Source organism: Homo sapiens, chromosome 16 (assembly GCF_000001405.40).
Source record: "Homo sapiens chromosome 16, GRCh38.p14 Primary Assembly".
Classification (NCBI taxonomy): Eukaryota; Metazoa; Chordata; class Mammalia; order Primates; family Hominidae; genus Homo; species Homo sapiens.
In genome coordinates, this window is record NC_000016.10 from 85270715 (window position 1) to 85282662 (window position 11948).

Sequence of the window (11948 nt, forward strand, 5' to 3'; positions counted from 1 at the left end):
AAGCCCAGCTCCCGCCAGCTGGAGAGAATGTCGCCCTGGGTGTTTCCGGGGTGGGAGAGGTTCCTTATGAGGTCTCGCCATCCACTCGGGAAAGAGCAGTTTCTAAATGTGCCTGTCTGGCTCCTCCGGCAGCCCATCCATCCCAGGCTAGACAGAGGCAGGCGGACATGGAAAGAAGGCACCCGGTGCAGGCACACAGACCTGGCTTCACATACCTGCCTCCTCTGTGCCAGCTGAACCAGCATTTCTTCCTTTCTTTACTGGTGCTAATCTCCCCCGTCTCACTGAGGCAGAGCGAATGCCATCAGGCCCTGTCCCCAAAAGGATCTCTTTTTCTAGGTGCTTTCTGTGGCCCAGCAGCCCACCTGGCCTCAGGGAGGCCAGAAGTACCGGGAGGTGAATGCCCCGGGGAGGAGCCCTTTACTAGTGTCTGTGGGAATTGGTGTATAAATATCCCAGATCCCTCCTGTAGGTGGACCACGGAAGCATGTCTCTCACGGTGGGTCCCAGAGCCCCCAAGCAGGATCGAGTTCCAGTTGCCCACCAGGGTGACTGGCTGAAGCCCACCCTCTCTCCCAGCCTCTTCCTCCCCTGCCCCTCTTCCCCGCGCTCCTGCCTGTTTGACATCTCTGCTCACATGAATGGCTCATCTTCCTCTCAGTCAGCTCCTTGGGGTTTCTGTGGGATGCAGATATATATTCAGAATCTGGTACAGGAAGATCAGGGCTTGGGAACTGGTGGGGAAGTATGAATGTGGTTCTTGGAGTCAGCAGTAGGACTTTTGGGGGTGAAAGGAGAGGCATCCCCAAAGCCCGAATCATCTGCCAAAGTGCGGGAGTGATAGCACTGGTGAGGCCTTTGCAGCCCACGCTGGCTTTCCTGCTGCTTCGCAGCGTGTACTGAGAGTCAGAGGCAGTCAGGGCCGTATGTACAGGAGCTTAAAGCTGGACATAGGCTCAGAGACACCAGGGGCCTGTGATCAGGTGCCATGACCCACCACCTCTGCCACTTTTCACCCTGTCTTGGGAGCCTGTGACAGAGGGGAAGTGGGGAGAGCAGTGCCGCCTGGAGGGAGAGATGGGATGGGGGAGCTCCAGTCGGGCTGTGATGGTTTCTTGGTGAAGCAATGGGTCACATTCTGGTTAAGATGCACCCTGTTCTAAGGGTAGCAGCCGGAGACCCCAGGGCTGGGGTCAGGGCACCTCAGGAGTGCCTTCGGGGGCTACGTGGCCAGGCCAGCGTCTGCAGGACGCCTTTCTGCAAGGGTTCCCCTTCCAAACCACTGTGTCACCCCTTCCCTCTGGTGGAGGCTGCCTCCTGTGCACTACAGGGCATGGTGCCGCCAGCCTGAGGGCAGATGGCCCCAGACCCGTATCCTGCGTTCCCATCATCGTCACCATGCGGCCGCCATTAGCTGGGTGCACACGCAGGCCCGAGGAAGCCTAGGCTCCCTTTTCTAACAGGCTCCGCTTTGGATGTCTGAGTTTGGGCTGCACACTTCCTAGCGTGGAGCGGATAGGGGCCCCTGTCTTTGGCCGTGCTCTGCAAGGGCTATGCGCGTGGGACGATCCGTTTTTCCATGTCTGAAGGAGCCTCAGGCCCGCAGAGGTGTCGGGGCCTTTGCCATCCCTGGAGTGATTCTTTGGGCAACTTTCTTCTGTTTCTGCCCTGATTCGAGATCTGGTTTTGTTTCTACTTATTGGGTGAATGCTGACAGTTTCTATTTTCCTGGAAAACGGTCTGGTTTTGGTGAGATCTTTCTACATGTCACCCTTCGGCCATAGGTGGCATTCTCCTAAACCTTCTGAATGTCTGTGGGATGGTGCCTGGGGTCCCTCAGGCCCAGGCAGTGGGAGGGGTGGAGCCGTGCTCAGAGCTGGCCCTTTCTGGAGAAGCCACGGGTGTGCGGGGAGCCTGGGCTGACTGTGGACAGCCCCTGGCAGTGCTGGGGGCTTGGTGAGGGGACCCACAGGAGAAAAGAGAACCTGAAGCTGTCCTTGCAAGGGGGCCCTACTTCTTGCTTGTTTGCTTGCTTGCTTGCTTGCTTGTTTTCTTCTCTTTTCTTTTTTTTTTTTTTTTTTGACGGAGTTTCACTCTTGTTGCCCAGGCTGGAGTGCAATGACATGATCTCTGCTCACTGCAACCTCTGTCTCCCAGGTTCAAGTAATTCTCCTGCCACAGCCTCCCGAGTAGCTGGGATTACAGGCATGCACTATTATGCCCGGCTAACTTTGTATTTTTAGTAGAGACAGGATTTCTCCATGTTTATCAGGCTGGCCTCAAACTCCCGACCTCAGGTGATCTGCCCGCCTCGGCCTCCCACAGTGCTGGGATTACAGGCGTGAGCCACTGTGCCCAGCCCATGGGGGCCCTACTTGTTCTCAGGGAAGAATTGAAGCCGTGACTGGCTGGGAGTTGACGGAATGGGAGCCTACAGGTGGGGGACCCCAGGCCAACTACTTGGCCTCTCCGGGCCCTGGTGTCCCCATCACTAGGGTTGGGGGTGGGGGAAGATTGAAAACAGTGATGCTAGGCCATTGAGTCAGCGCAACATCCACTTAGGAAGAGTAGATTTTACTGTATATAATTAAGCGTCCCCAGTCAATCTGACCTTAGGACAAGTTAAGGGAACGTGTGCCCAGATGTTCATAACAGCATTATGCATAGCAGCCAAAAGGTGGAAACACCTCATGTGTCTGTCAACTGATAATGGAGAAACAACATGTGGCCTCTCCATGCCGTGGAATATTACTCAGCCATAAAAAGGAGTGAAGTGCAGATCCATGGTGCAGCATGGATCAACCATGAAAACGTGACGCTGAGTGACAGAAGCCAGTCTGCAGAGGCCACAGTGTATGAGTCCATTCGTATGGGATGCCCAGAACAGGCCAGTCCATAGGGTCGGAAAGCAGACTGGTGCTGCCAGGGGCTGGGAGGAGGAAGAAGAGGAGTGACTGCTCATGGGCATGGGGTCTCCTTTTTGGTTTTTTTTGAGATGGAGTTTAGCCCTTGTCGCCCAGTCTGGAGTGCAGTGGTGCGATCTCGGCTCACTGCAACCTCTGCCTCCTGGGTTCAAGTGATTCTCCTGCCTCAGACTCCCAAGTAGCTGGGATTACAGGTACCTGCCACGACACTCGGCTAATTTTGTATTTTTTTTTTTTTAGTAGAGATGGGGTTTCACCATGTTGGCCAGGCTGGTCTCGAACTCCTGACCTCAGGTGATCCACCCACCTCGGCCTCCCAAAGTGCTGGGATTACAGGTGTGAGCCACCACACCCATCCAGGGTCTCTTTTTGGGGTGATGAAAAAGTTCTGGAAGTAGATAGAGGTAGTGGCTGCACAACATTGGGAATGCCACTGAATTGTACACTTGAAAATGGGCAATTGTAGGCTGGGCACGGAGGCTCACTCCTGTAATCCCAGCACTTCGGGAGGCTGAAGCGGCTGGATCACGAGGTTAGGAGTTCGAGACCAGCCTGACCAACATGATGAAACCCCATCTCTACTAAAAATATACAATCAGCTGGGCGTGGCAGCAGCCACCCCTGTAATCCCAGCTACTCGGGAGGCTGAGGCAGGAGAATCGCTTGAACCTGGGAGGCGGAGGTTGCAGTGAGCTGAGATCACGCCACTGCACTCCAGCCTGGGTGACGAGAAACTCCATCTCAAAAATAAATACATAAATAAATAAAATAAAATAAATAAAAGAGGGAAAGAGTGTATTGATGTATTTATCGAGCACTCGGCCAGATGGCTTTGGTGGCTCTCCTAAAACCTGGCTCAGGCATCCCAGTGGCTGTGCACTTTGCTACCTGTCAGGTTTAGGAATGGCCTCAGGAGTGTGAAGAGGGCCATGAATGGGCAGCCGTCGAGGCCTCTGTGGGCAGGGGACCTGGCGGTTGTAGGGATCCCCAGCCTCCCACGTGGGATGGGCAGCTTAGTGTTAGCAGTGCTAACAGGGCTTAGGTGCCTGTCCCCCTCTCGCCAGTGGGAGGAACCAAACCCAGAGCGCTGGTCCAGGCTGACCACTGAGGCTGCTTCCAGCCTGCACGTCCAGCCACTGGCACCTGCCCCCAGCAGCAGGTCACCTGCAGAAAGCTCACACTGGCACCTGCCTCCAGCAGCAGGTCACCTGCAGAAAGCTCAGTCCTGGACCCTGCAGATGCATGTGGGGCCTGGCCCTCACTGCCCCTGTTCCAGTTCCGGCCCCTCCTGCTGTTCTTGGAGTGAGACCAGGCATTTTCTGCAGTTTCTCCATCAGCAGCCTTGAGGCTCAAAGCGTTCCTTATTAGAGCTCCTTGGTGGCTGGTGCCTAGAGCCAGGAGTCTGTCAGGTGTGAGGGGCCATATGCTGTTCTGCTGTGGCTGGCCAGGGAGCATGACATGGAGCATCAGCCGATCCGCAGACACAGACCTGGGCCTGTGCGGGCCCCACCCCCAGACAAGGGAAAAGTCTCCCTGGACCACGTGGCCTGAAGTCTTAACTCCCAAACCACAGAGGCCTCCGAACTGGAGGAGACAGAACAGCTCCCTGCTAGGACAGCCAGCCAGGGCTCCAATAGCCCCCGTTCCTCCACACCGAAGGAAGGACAGGACAGAAAAGCTGGGCAGAGGGCAGGCAGGGGACAGAAGCCCGGGCAGAGGGCACCGAGGGGCGAAGGCTCTGTCGGGAGAGCATGAGCCAGGGGTGCTGAGGGCTCACTCCCTTGGCACCAGCAAGGAGCACCTTGGAGGAAGGGCCTGGACTTTGCATCCAGAAGTACCTCGGTGCGAGTCTCAGACCTGTCTCACTCGACAAGCCACCGAGTTCAAATGGCACCAGTGAAAAGAGAAGATTCCGGAGCTAGCACCCAGCATTTCATACTTTCCCTGTGGCATCCTCTCTGGGCCACCCCCAGGGTCCTTGGGGTCAAAGTTGATTTCCAGAGGTCGGTCCTAGACGTGGGGAGGCAGTCAGGGTGAGGGGACCCCAGGGACTGAATAGGGGCCTGTAAAGCTGCAGCCCTCCGCGTGGGGCCCTGGACCCAGGTGGAAACCAAGCGAAGGGATGAACCGGGGCGCTGAGCCCCATGTCCCCAGCAGATGGCGCCCTCGGCCTGGGAAGGGAAGGGCTTGGCTGGGAGGAGGGCTGGTGATGGAGGAAGCCCTCCCTGCCTGTTGGCGGTCTCTGCTCTCTGGCCCCGTTCACTTCTGCACAGGTGGGTGGAATGCCTCATGCTGCAGAGCTATAGGCAAAGTCAGAGGGGGTGCTTTCTATGTCCTTGGCCTCAGGGTCCCCCTCCCAGCGATGGGCAAACAGGGACTGATAAGCAGTTGAGTCCTGTGCTAGCACAGTGCCACAGAAAAGATGGTCCTGGTAGATTTCCTTGGGGTTTGCCTCCCCACTTTACAGATGGGGAAACTGAAGCCCAGAGAGGTTGAGTGACTTGCCTAAGGTCACACAGCTGGGAGCAGCAGGCCAGGCCTGTTGTTTCCGCCTTGCGGCGCAGCTGGAAGACCCTCCTGGTGGCTGCCAGCCCATGCTGAGCATTGCTTTCTGAACTGTTTGAGCACCTGACTTGAATCTCCCCGCTTGTTACAACGGGTACTGCTGCAGAAGGGGAAACTGAGGTAGGAGGACTTCAGGAAGGTGTGCCCCAGGAGCCTCAGAGCTGGTACGCACTGGACCAGGAAGTCTGGCTTACAGCTTGGCCAGGTCAGCGATTTGTTCACCCAGCGGTTTTCTGAGCACCGCCTGTGTACACTGCCTGCTGCCCCAGTGTATATTGGGTGAATGAAATGAATGGAATCGGCTCCTAAGTCACTGAGCAGGTTCAGCCAAGGCAGGGCCTCAGGGAGCAATATTAAGGATGTTTAATCCAGAAAGGGCCCGGGTTCGGGGTGACCTCCCCGTGATGACCATGAGGGGCTAGTAGAGGCAAGTGGCCGGGAAGGGCGTGGAGGATGCTTCGGTGGCGGGAGACAGGATGGACCCACCACGCTGCTCTCAGCGTGGGCCAGGGCAGGGGCCGGGGAGGTGTGTGGGGTGGGACCTCGCTCGTGGCCCAGCAGCAGGATGTCACCCAGAACTCCTTAGAGATGTGCTCTCGGCCCCACCCAGGCCCCCTGACTCAGGAGCTTCCCACCAGGGCTCTGAAAAGCAGGTGTCCTCAGACTCCTGTGCACGGTCAAGTTAGAGAACCCCCAAGGCCGGGCTCTGGAGAAGGTGCTGGGCAGCGTGGGTGGGCAGGAGGGGACCGTGCAGCCGGGCCAGGCCTGGGGGCTTTGTTCTGAGAGCAGGGGGACCCTGAGGGTTTCAGGTTGCAGGATGAGAGGATCGGATGGCATCTTCAAAGTCCCTAACAGCTGCTCCAGAATGGATTGAATCTGGGGAAGGAGCTGGGGGAGGGGTGTAGGGGACACCTGGCCCATCAGAGGCCCCTGAGACCCCACGGCCAGCCTGTGGAGTGGGGAGAAATAGAGGCGAGACTGGGCAGGTGAGGTGGCGGTGGGGGTGGGGCACTGTAAGGCCTGCCCAAGGAGGGAAGGAGATTTCCTTCTGGGGTTCTGGCCAGTGCCTCCAGACGGGCCCAGGCTGGGTCATTTTTTTTGCATGTGAGAGTTGGGGTGCCTTGGAGCCCTCCACAGGAGCCCTGAAGGAGAGAATGGGGTTCCAGGGTCTGTCAGTGCCAGAACCCACCCCTGAAAGGCGGAAGAGGCTGAGCTGCCGGTCTGGTGGGGCCTGTCCCTTGGGCGGCTGGTGGGCACAGGGCAAGCCTGTACTGCTCAGATGTGTATGCGAGTCACCTGGGGCCAGGCCTGGGATTCCGGATTTCTAAAAAACTCCGGTGTTGCCTGTGATGCTGGGTCAGGGCATCACTCTGAAGCCCTCCCGCCTACCCACAGGTGCCTCATCCAGCCCAACTTCCACCCCACCTGGAAGAGCCCCTGGGCTGCAGCTGGGCAGCCTGGAAGCGGTGGGTATGTGGTGGTCTGCTGGGGACTCCTCACCCCTACAAAGCATCTCCTCTTTGCTTTATGTCCATTTCCAACAGCTGAGGCCTGCTTCTCCGTTGCCCCTGCCTTCGAGCTGTGTCTGGGCCAGCCCTCAGCCTCTGTGCCATCCATGCCTGTGGCAGACCCCAGGCCGGCCCCAGGACACCAGCTGCTGCTGGGCCTCTGCCTGGGACTGGCCTGTGGATTCCTCCTGGCCTCCACCTCGGGGCTCCTTCCTGCTGGGGTCAGCGGGTCCCTAGAGCCCATGGGTGCGCACAGAGGGGAATGGGTGGGAAAGCAGGCTTCACGACTCCATTGAGAGCAGTCACAATATTGGCGGCATGTGTCCCAACCGTATCGTCCATTTGAACCTCACAGCTGTCCCGCGAGGAAGGTCACGGGCATGGCCCCGTTTTACAGATGAGAAGATGGAGGAGAGGGGTCCATGTCCCTGGCTGAAGTCCGGGGTCTGAATTCAAGCTGGTGAGGCCCCCCTGGACTCACCCTCCTGCAGCGTCAGGGGGCGGGGGTGCTGTCCTCTGACCCAGGCCCTTTGCAGAGTGTGACCTGAGACCCTCTCTTCTTGCTCCTGAGTAGTGAGGCCACACTGGCGGGAGCCCTGGAGGTCCCTCTCCACACATGCCTGAAGCAGGGTGCTCTGAGCACCCTTACTGAGCAGTGCTTTGCTTCTCTGTTTTTGTCTGTGTTTGCCTGTTTTTCATTAGGTTTTTGAGAAAGAAGACACTGTATTTAATAATACAGGTTTTAAAAAAATCATTTGAGCCTGGTCAGACTCTATGATCCTGAATTCACAAGGTTTGTTTTTGGTTTTGTTTGTTTACCCCAGATTTTTCAGGGGTATATTTTTACCCCAGATATTTTTCTGTTAGCCTCATAGTCTTCATAAGCACAGTTAAAAATCCCAAACCAATTCTGATACAAGTAAGTGTCTTGAATTATCAGTAAGAATAATTTAGCAGAGACCTTCCTGTCCAAAGTATTTGCCAGTTGTTTATTTCTCAAGAGAAACTATTTCTTAACTCACATATTCATGTTTCATAGTTCAGGAACATAGGTCAGCGACAAACTTTTAGGTCAACCCAAGAAGATTATCTATATTCCAAAATCACCTTGCACTCTGAAAGATACCAGCCTTCCTCATCTCCTCAAAATCCTTCACGGAATCCTAATTGCTGTAGAAATCTGCGAATGACTCTTTCTTGGTTCAGCCACAGCAGACTTACAGAGAGCTGCAGCCCCCAGAGAGACAGTGAATGCTCAGTACGGGAAATTGCAGACGTTGGCCAGAAGGCCACGCATCTGAGGTTTTGTCAAAGCACTGGAAGCTTTGGCGGTTATCGTCCTTGATAGGGACATCAACCTCAACACCAGTGTCCTTCCCAGCTGATGGAGAAATGCCCAGATTTTTTAAAAATGCAAACGACATAAAATAACGATGTGGTAACTTTCAGGGCTACAGGGCGATAAAATAGTGGGGAGGGGGGAGGAGGATGCTTCAGGCCAAGGCCCCAGGGAGAAAGCGTATTTTCCTGTGTACTCTACGGGTTCTATTCTCAGTCCTGAAATACCTTCTACCATGCAAGCCCGCTACAAGCTCATTTAAGGTAGTGCCATGGGGCTGTGTGTGGTGGCTCATGCCTGTAATCCCAGTACTCTGGGAGGCCAAGGCAGCGGATCACTTGAGCCCAGGAGTCTGAGACCAGTCTGGGCATTATAGCAAGACCCTGTCTCTACAAAAAGTACAAAAATTAGCCAGGCATGGTGATGTGTGCCTGTGTTCCCAGCCACTCAAGGGGGGATCACTTGAGCCCAGGAGGTGGAGGTTGCAGTGAGTCAAGATCGCACCACTGCACTCCAGCCTGGGTGGCAGAGCAAGACCCTGTTTCAATCAATCAATCAGTCAGTCAATCAATCAATCAATCAAACAGTGATGTAGCTCTGTGGGTCAGAGCTCAGTTTCCTCCCTGTGAAATGGTGCTGCCCGGCCTGCTCCATGGGGCCTCCTGAGCACCTGAGCCCGTAAGCCTTGTGTCATTATGGGAGGCGGTGTTTTCTCAACTCCAACTTCTCTGTCTTCACTTGAATTCTCAGGACTGTCTGTCCCTCCCCTGCCTGAGTGAGGATCTGTGTTTCAAGAGCCGCCCATTTCCCGGTGGAAGGAACGCCATCTCAGAGCAAACTCCGGCGGCGTCATTAGCCGGGGAGATGGCAGCTCATTAAGTGTGAGCGGTGACTCCAGGGTTTATCAGTGAAATTACTCAGTTCTCCCCACACACAGAGCTGAGGGGGAAATTGAGCCTTGCTGAGGTTCCAGAAAGTTCTCCTTTCACCCAAAGGTTGCTGAGGGCTGCAGTTCTGTTGGCAACACGCCCAGCGCTCGGAAGGTCTGCAGCACTCTCTCCAGAGTGCATGCTGTTTCGGAGCAGATGGAACTGGCCCTTGGAGACCCAGCTTCCCAGCAGGCGGTGCTTAAGATGGTAGGAAGGCCCTGGCCCAGGAGTCGGAGGTTTTGGGAAAAGTACACCCGGCCCCTGCTTTCCATTGGCCAGGTGACCTTGAGTAAGGCCTCTACCAGTCCAGGGTGAGGCTTCTCTGGCCAAGGCCCCATCCAGCACCCAAGCTCTCAGATTCCACCCGTGGAATGCACCACTCCTGGGCTGTCCCACTGGGTCATATGGTCTATTTATTTATTTATTTATTTACTGAGGCAGAGTCTCTCTCTGTTGCCCAGGCTGGAGTGTAGTGGTGCAGTCTCGGCTCAGTGCAACCTCCACCTCCTGGGTTTAAGCGATTCTCCTGCCTCAGCCTCTCGAGTAGCTGGGACTACAGGCGCCCGCCACCATACCTGGCCAATTTTTGTGTCTTTAGTAGAGACGGGATTTTGCCATGTTGGCCAGGCCGCTCTCGAACTTCTGACCTCAAGTGATCCGCCCACCTCAGCCTCCCAAAGTGCTGGGATTACAGGCGTGAGCCACAGCACCCGGCCACATGGTCTCTTTAATTTGGGGATTGCCCCCACACCATCCCTGCCGTCATTCTTTACAAAATGTCACCTTTGCCTCCTTGCAGCTGTGTCAGTGTCTCTCCATTTTTCAAACCCTCTGAGGACTCTGTCTTGTGTTACTGTGTCTGATTTCTTAGAAAGCCAGTGCAAGGAGAAGCAGAGAACATCGGCGGTGACAAGGAGAGGGTCCCGTGGGTCCTCGGGCTGAATTGGAACCAGGTCCTGGCGTTGCCTGCCCAGGTCTTCCCATCTGGGTTTGCTCCAGTGCCTGGGCCGGTCAGAGCTGCCTCTGCCGCCCCATGTCTCTGATGGGTTGCGGGGAAGTTTGAGATGAACGGCTCTCCCTGCTCTAAAGTCACTTCAGCAGGGACCCAAAATTGTCAAGAAGCAAATGAACCCACGATGCAAACGGCCTCTCTCAGCATCACCTCCACAAAGCCTTAGAGCTGGACATGATCTTCCAGGCTGTCAGTTCTGAACCTTTACTGGGGAGGACATCCGAGGCCTGCAGAAGCCCTGTGGCTTGTCCCAGGTCCCAATTAGCTGGGGACACAAGAGGCCCTCTTGACAGCAGGCAGGTGACGGCTCCTCTGAGAACAGCACTCTGGATGGTGACGTTCACACCCTCCAAACCCCGGCCACCAGCAGCTCCAAGCAGTTCCAGGCACGAGTTAATTAACCCTCACAGCAGCTCTCCAAAGGAGATAATTATTACTCATATCCCCTCTGTAGGTGGCTAAACCGAGGCCCACAGGGATGGGGTGAGTGTCTTAAATGCCAGATGAGAAGTTACCTTGCATCGGAGCGCCGTCTAACCTGCCTCTTAATTAGTTGGGGCTAAGAGGCCCCAGTGACTTTCAAGGATTCCATTTTTGTTATTTTCCTCTAAAAACGATATGCAATGCTCCAGAAAGAGAAAACCCTAGAAGAATGTAAAACTCAAGTTCCCTCCTACCTGGTCACCGTGGGCAAAACCAAGGTGCATGGACGTGGTTTTCAGGGTGTCAGCCCACTTCAGGTTATAGGTGGTGTCCAGTGATGGGGTGGGAGGATGGAGAGCATGTGCACGGGGTTAGTGTTGCTTCCAAGCTTATCATTGCCACTCTTGATTTCAGGAGCTCTGGAAGCAAAGCGGAATAGATTCACGTTATCTGAGCAGGACACGCCCACCACAGCATGCCAGCATTATTTTGCCAGAAACCTCACAGTCCCCAGGTTTGCCACCCACATGCAGAGCCCTGTGTAGGGTCTTAGATGGCACAGATGGTGCCGGGTGCCACAGCCGGGGTTATCCTGTGAGTTGCTATGTTTTCTTTTCTTTTTTTTTTTTTTGAGACAGAGGCTCACTCTGTCACCCAGGCTGTAGTGCAGTGGCACGATTTCAGCCCACTGCAACCTCTGCCTCCTGGGTTCAAGTGATTCTCCTGCCTCAGCCTCTCGAGTAGCTGGGACTACAGGCGTGCACCACCATGCCCAGTTAATGTTTGTATTTTCAGTAGAGACGGGGTTTCACCATGTTGGCCAGGAGGGTCTGGATCTCTTGACCTCGTGATCCAGCCGCCTCGGTCTCCCAAAGTGCTGGGATTACAGGCGTGAGCCACCGCGCCCGGCTGGGTTGCTGTGTTTTCATGACTGCTTTAGATCAATTTGCCACCGACCTGCCTCTCACTGGGGTAGACTGACTTCAAAGCTTTTTTCTCCTCCAGGTTTCTGAAAGTTGTTTTTTGCTGAAAGCCCGGTTCAGAGTTCTCATGTGTGTTTTGGGGACCCAGGGCATTTACCGAACCCGGTGAGGGCTGGAAATTCCAGTCTCAGAAAGTCAGAGTCGCACAGGATCGGGGAAACGTTCAGGCATCCTGGACTGTTTGGTGACGAGGTCACAGAGCCCCCGGAGGATCAGGAGCTGCTCGTTAAAAGCTGGGGACACTCAGAGGCTCTTGTTTTTCCTT

The 11948-nt window shown here is 55.4% G+C and overlaps 1 protein-coding gene and 1 pseudogene across 4 annotated transcripts in view, besides 5 other annotated features; one reads left to right on the forward strand and one right to left on the reverse strand.

The window, feature by feature from the left end:
• GSE1 (Gse1 coiled-coil protein) overlaps nt 1-11948 on the forward strand; it is a 506689-nt gene that overhangs the window by 101203 nt on the left and 393538 nt on the right. The gene's annotated exons all lie outside the window — the stretch shown is intronic.
• Nucleotides 865-1861: an enhancer, noted in NCBI's record as "H3K4me1 hESC enhancer chr16:85305185-85306181 (GRCh37/hg19 assembly coordinates)". NCBI's record gives its function as "activates a minimal SCP1, AML or CMV promoter by ChIP-STARR-seq in primed H9 embryonic stem cells {active_cell/tissue: H9 hESC(primed)}" and the evidence as "EXISTENCE:reporter gene assay evidence [ECO:0000049][PMID:30033119]".
• Nucleotides 4527-5499: an enhancer, noted in NCBI's record as "H3K4me1 hESC enhancer chr16:85308847-85309819 (GRCh37/hg19 assembly coordinates)". NCBI's record gives its function as "activates a minimal SCP1, AML or CMV promoter by ChIP-STARR-seq in naive H9 embryonic stem cells {active_cell/tissue: H9 hESC(naive)}" and the evidence as "EXISTENCE:reporter gene assay evidence [ECO:0000049][PMID:30033119]".
• Nucleotides 5205-5254: an enhancer, noted in NCBI's record as "active region_11268". NCBI's record gives its function as "activates an Ori minimal core promoter by ATAC-STARR-seq in GM12878 lymphoblastoid cells {active_cell/tissue: GM12878}" and the evidence as "EXISTENCE:reporter gene assay evidence [ECO:0000049][PMID:35858748]".
• Nucleotides 5500-6473: an enhancer, noted in NCBI's record as "H3K27ac-H3K4me1 hESC enhancer chr16:85309820-85310793 (GRCh37/hg19 assembly coordinates)". NCBI's record gives its function as "activates a minimal SCP1, AML or CMV promoter by ChIP-STARR-seq in naive H9 embryonic stem cells {active_cell/tissue: H9 hESC(naive)}" and the evidence as "EXISTENCE:reporter gene assay evidence [ECO:0000049][PMID:30033119]".
• Nucleotides 6474-7446: an enhancer, noted in NCBI's record as "H3K27ac-H3K4me1 hESC enhancer chr16:85310794-85311766 (GRCh37/hg19 assembly coordinates)". NCBI's record gives its function as "activates a minimal SCP1, AML or CMV promoter by ChIP-STARR-seq in primed H9 embryonic stem cells {active_cell/tissue: H9 hESC(primed)}" and the evidence as "EXISTENCE:reporter gene assay evidence [ECO:0000049][PMID:30033119]".
• On the reverse strand, nt 7906-8390 carry COX6CP16 (cytochrome c oxidase subunit 6C pseudogene 16; annotated as a pseudogene).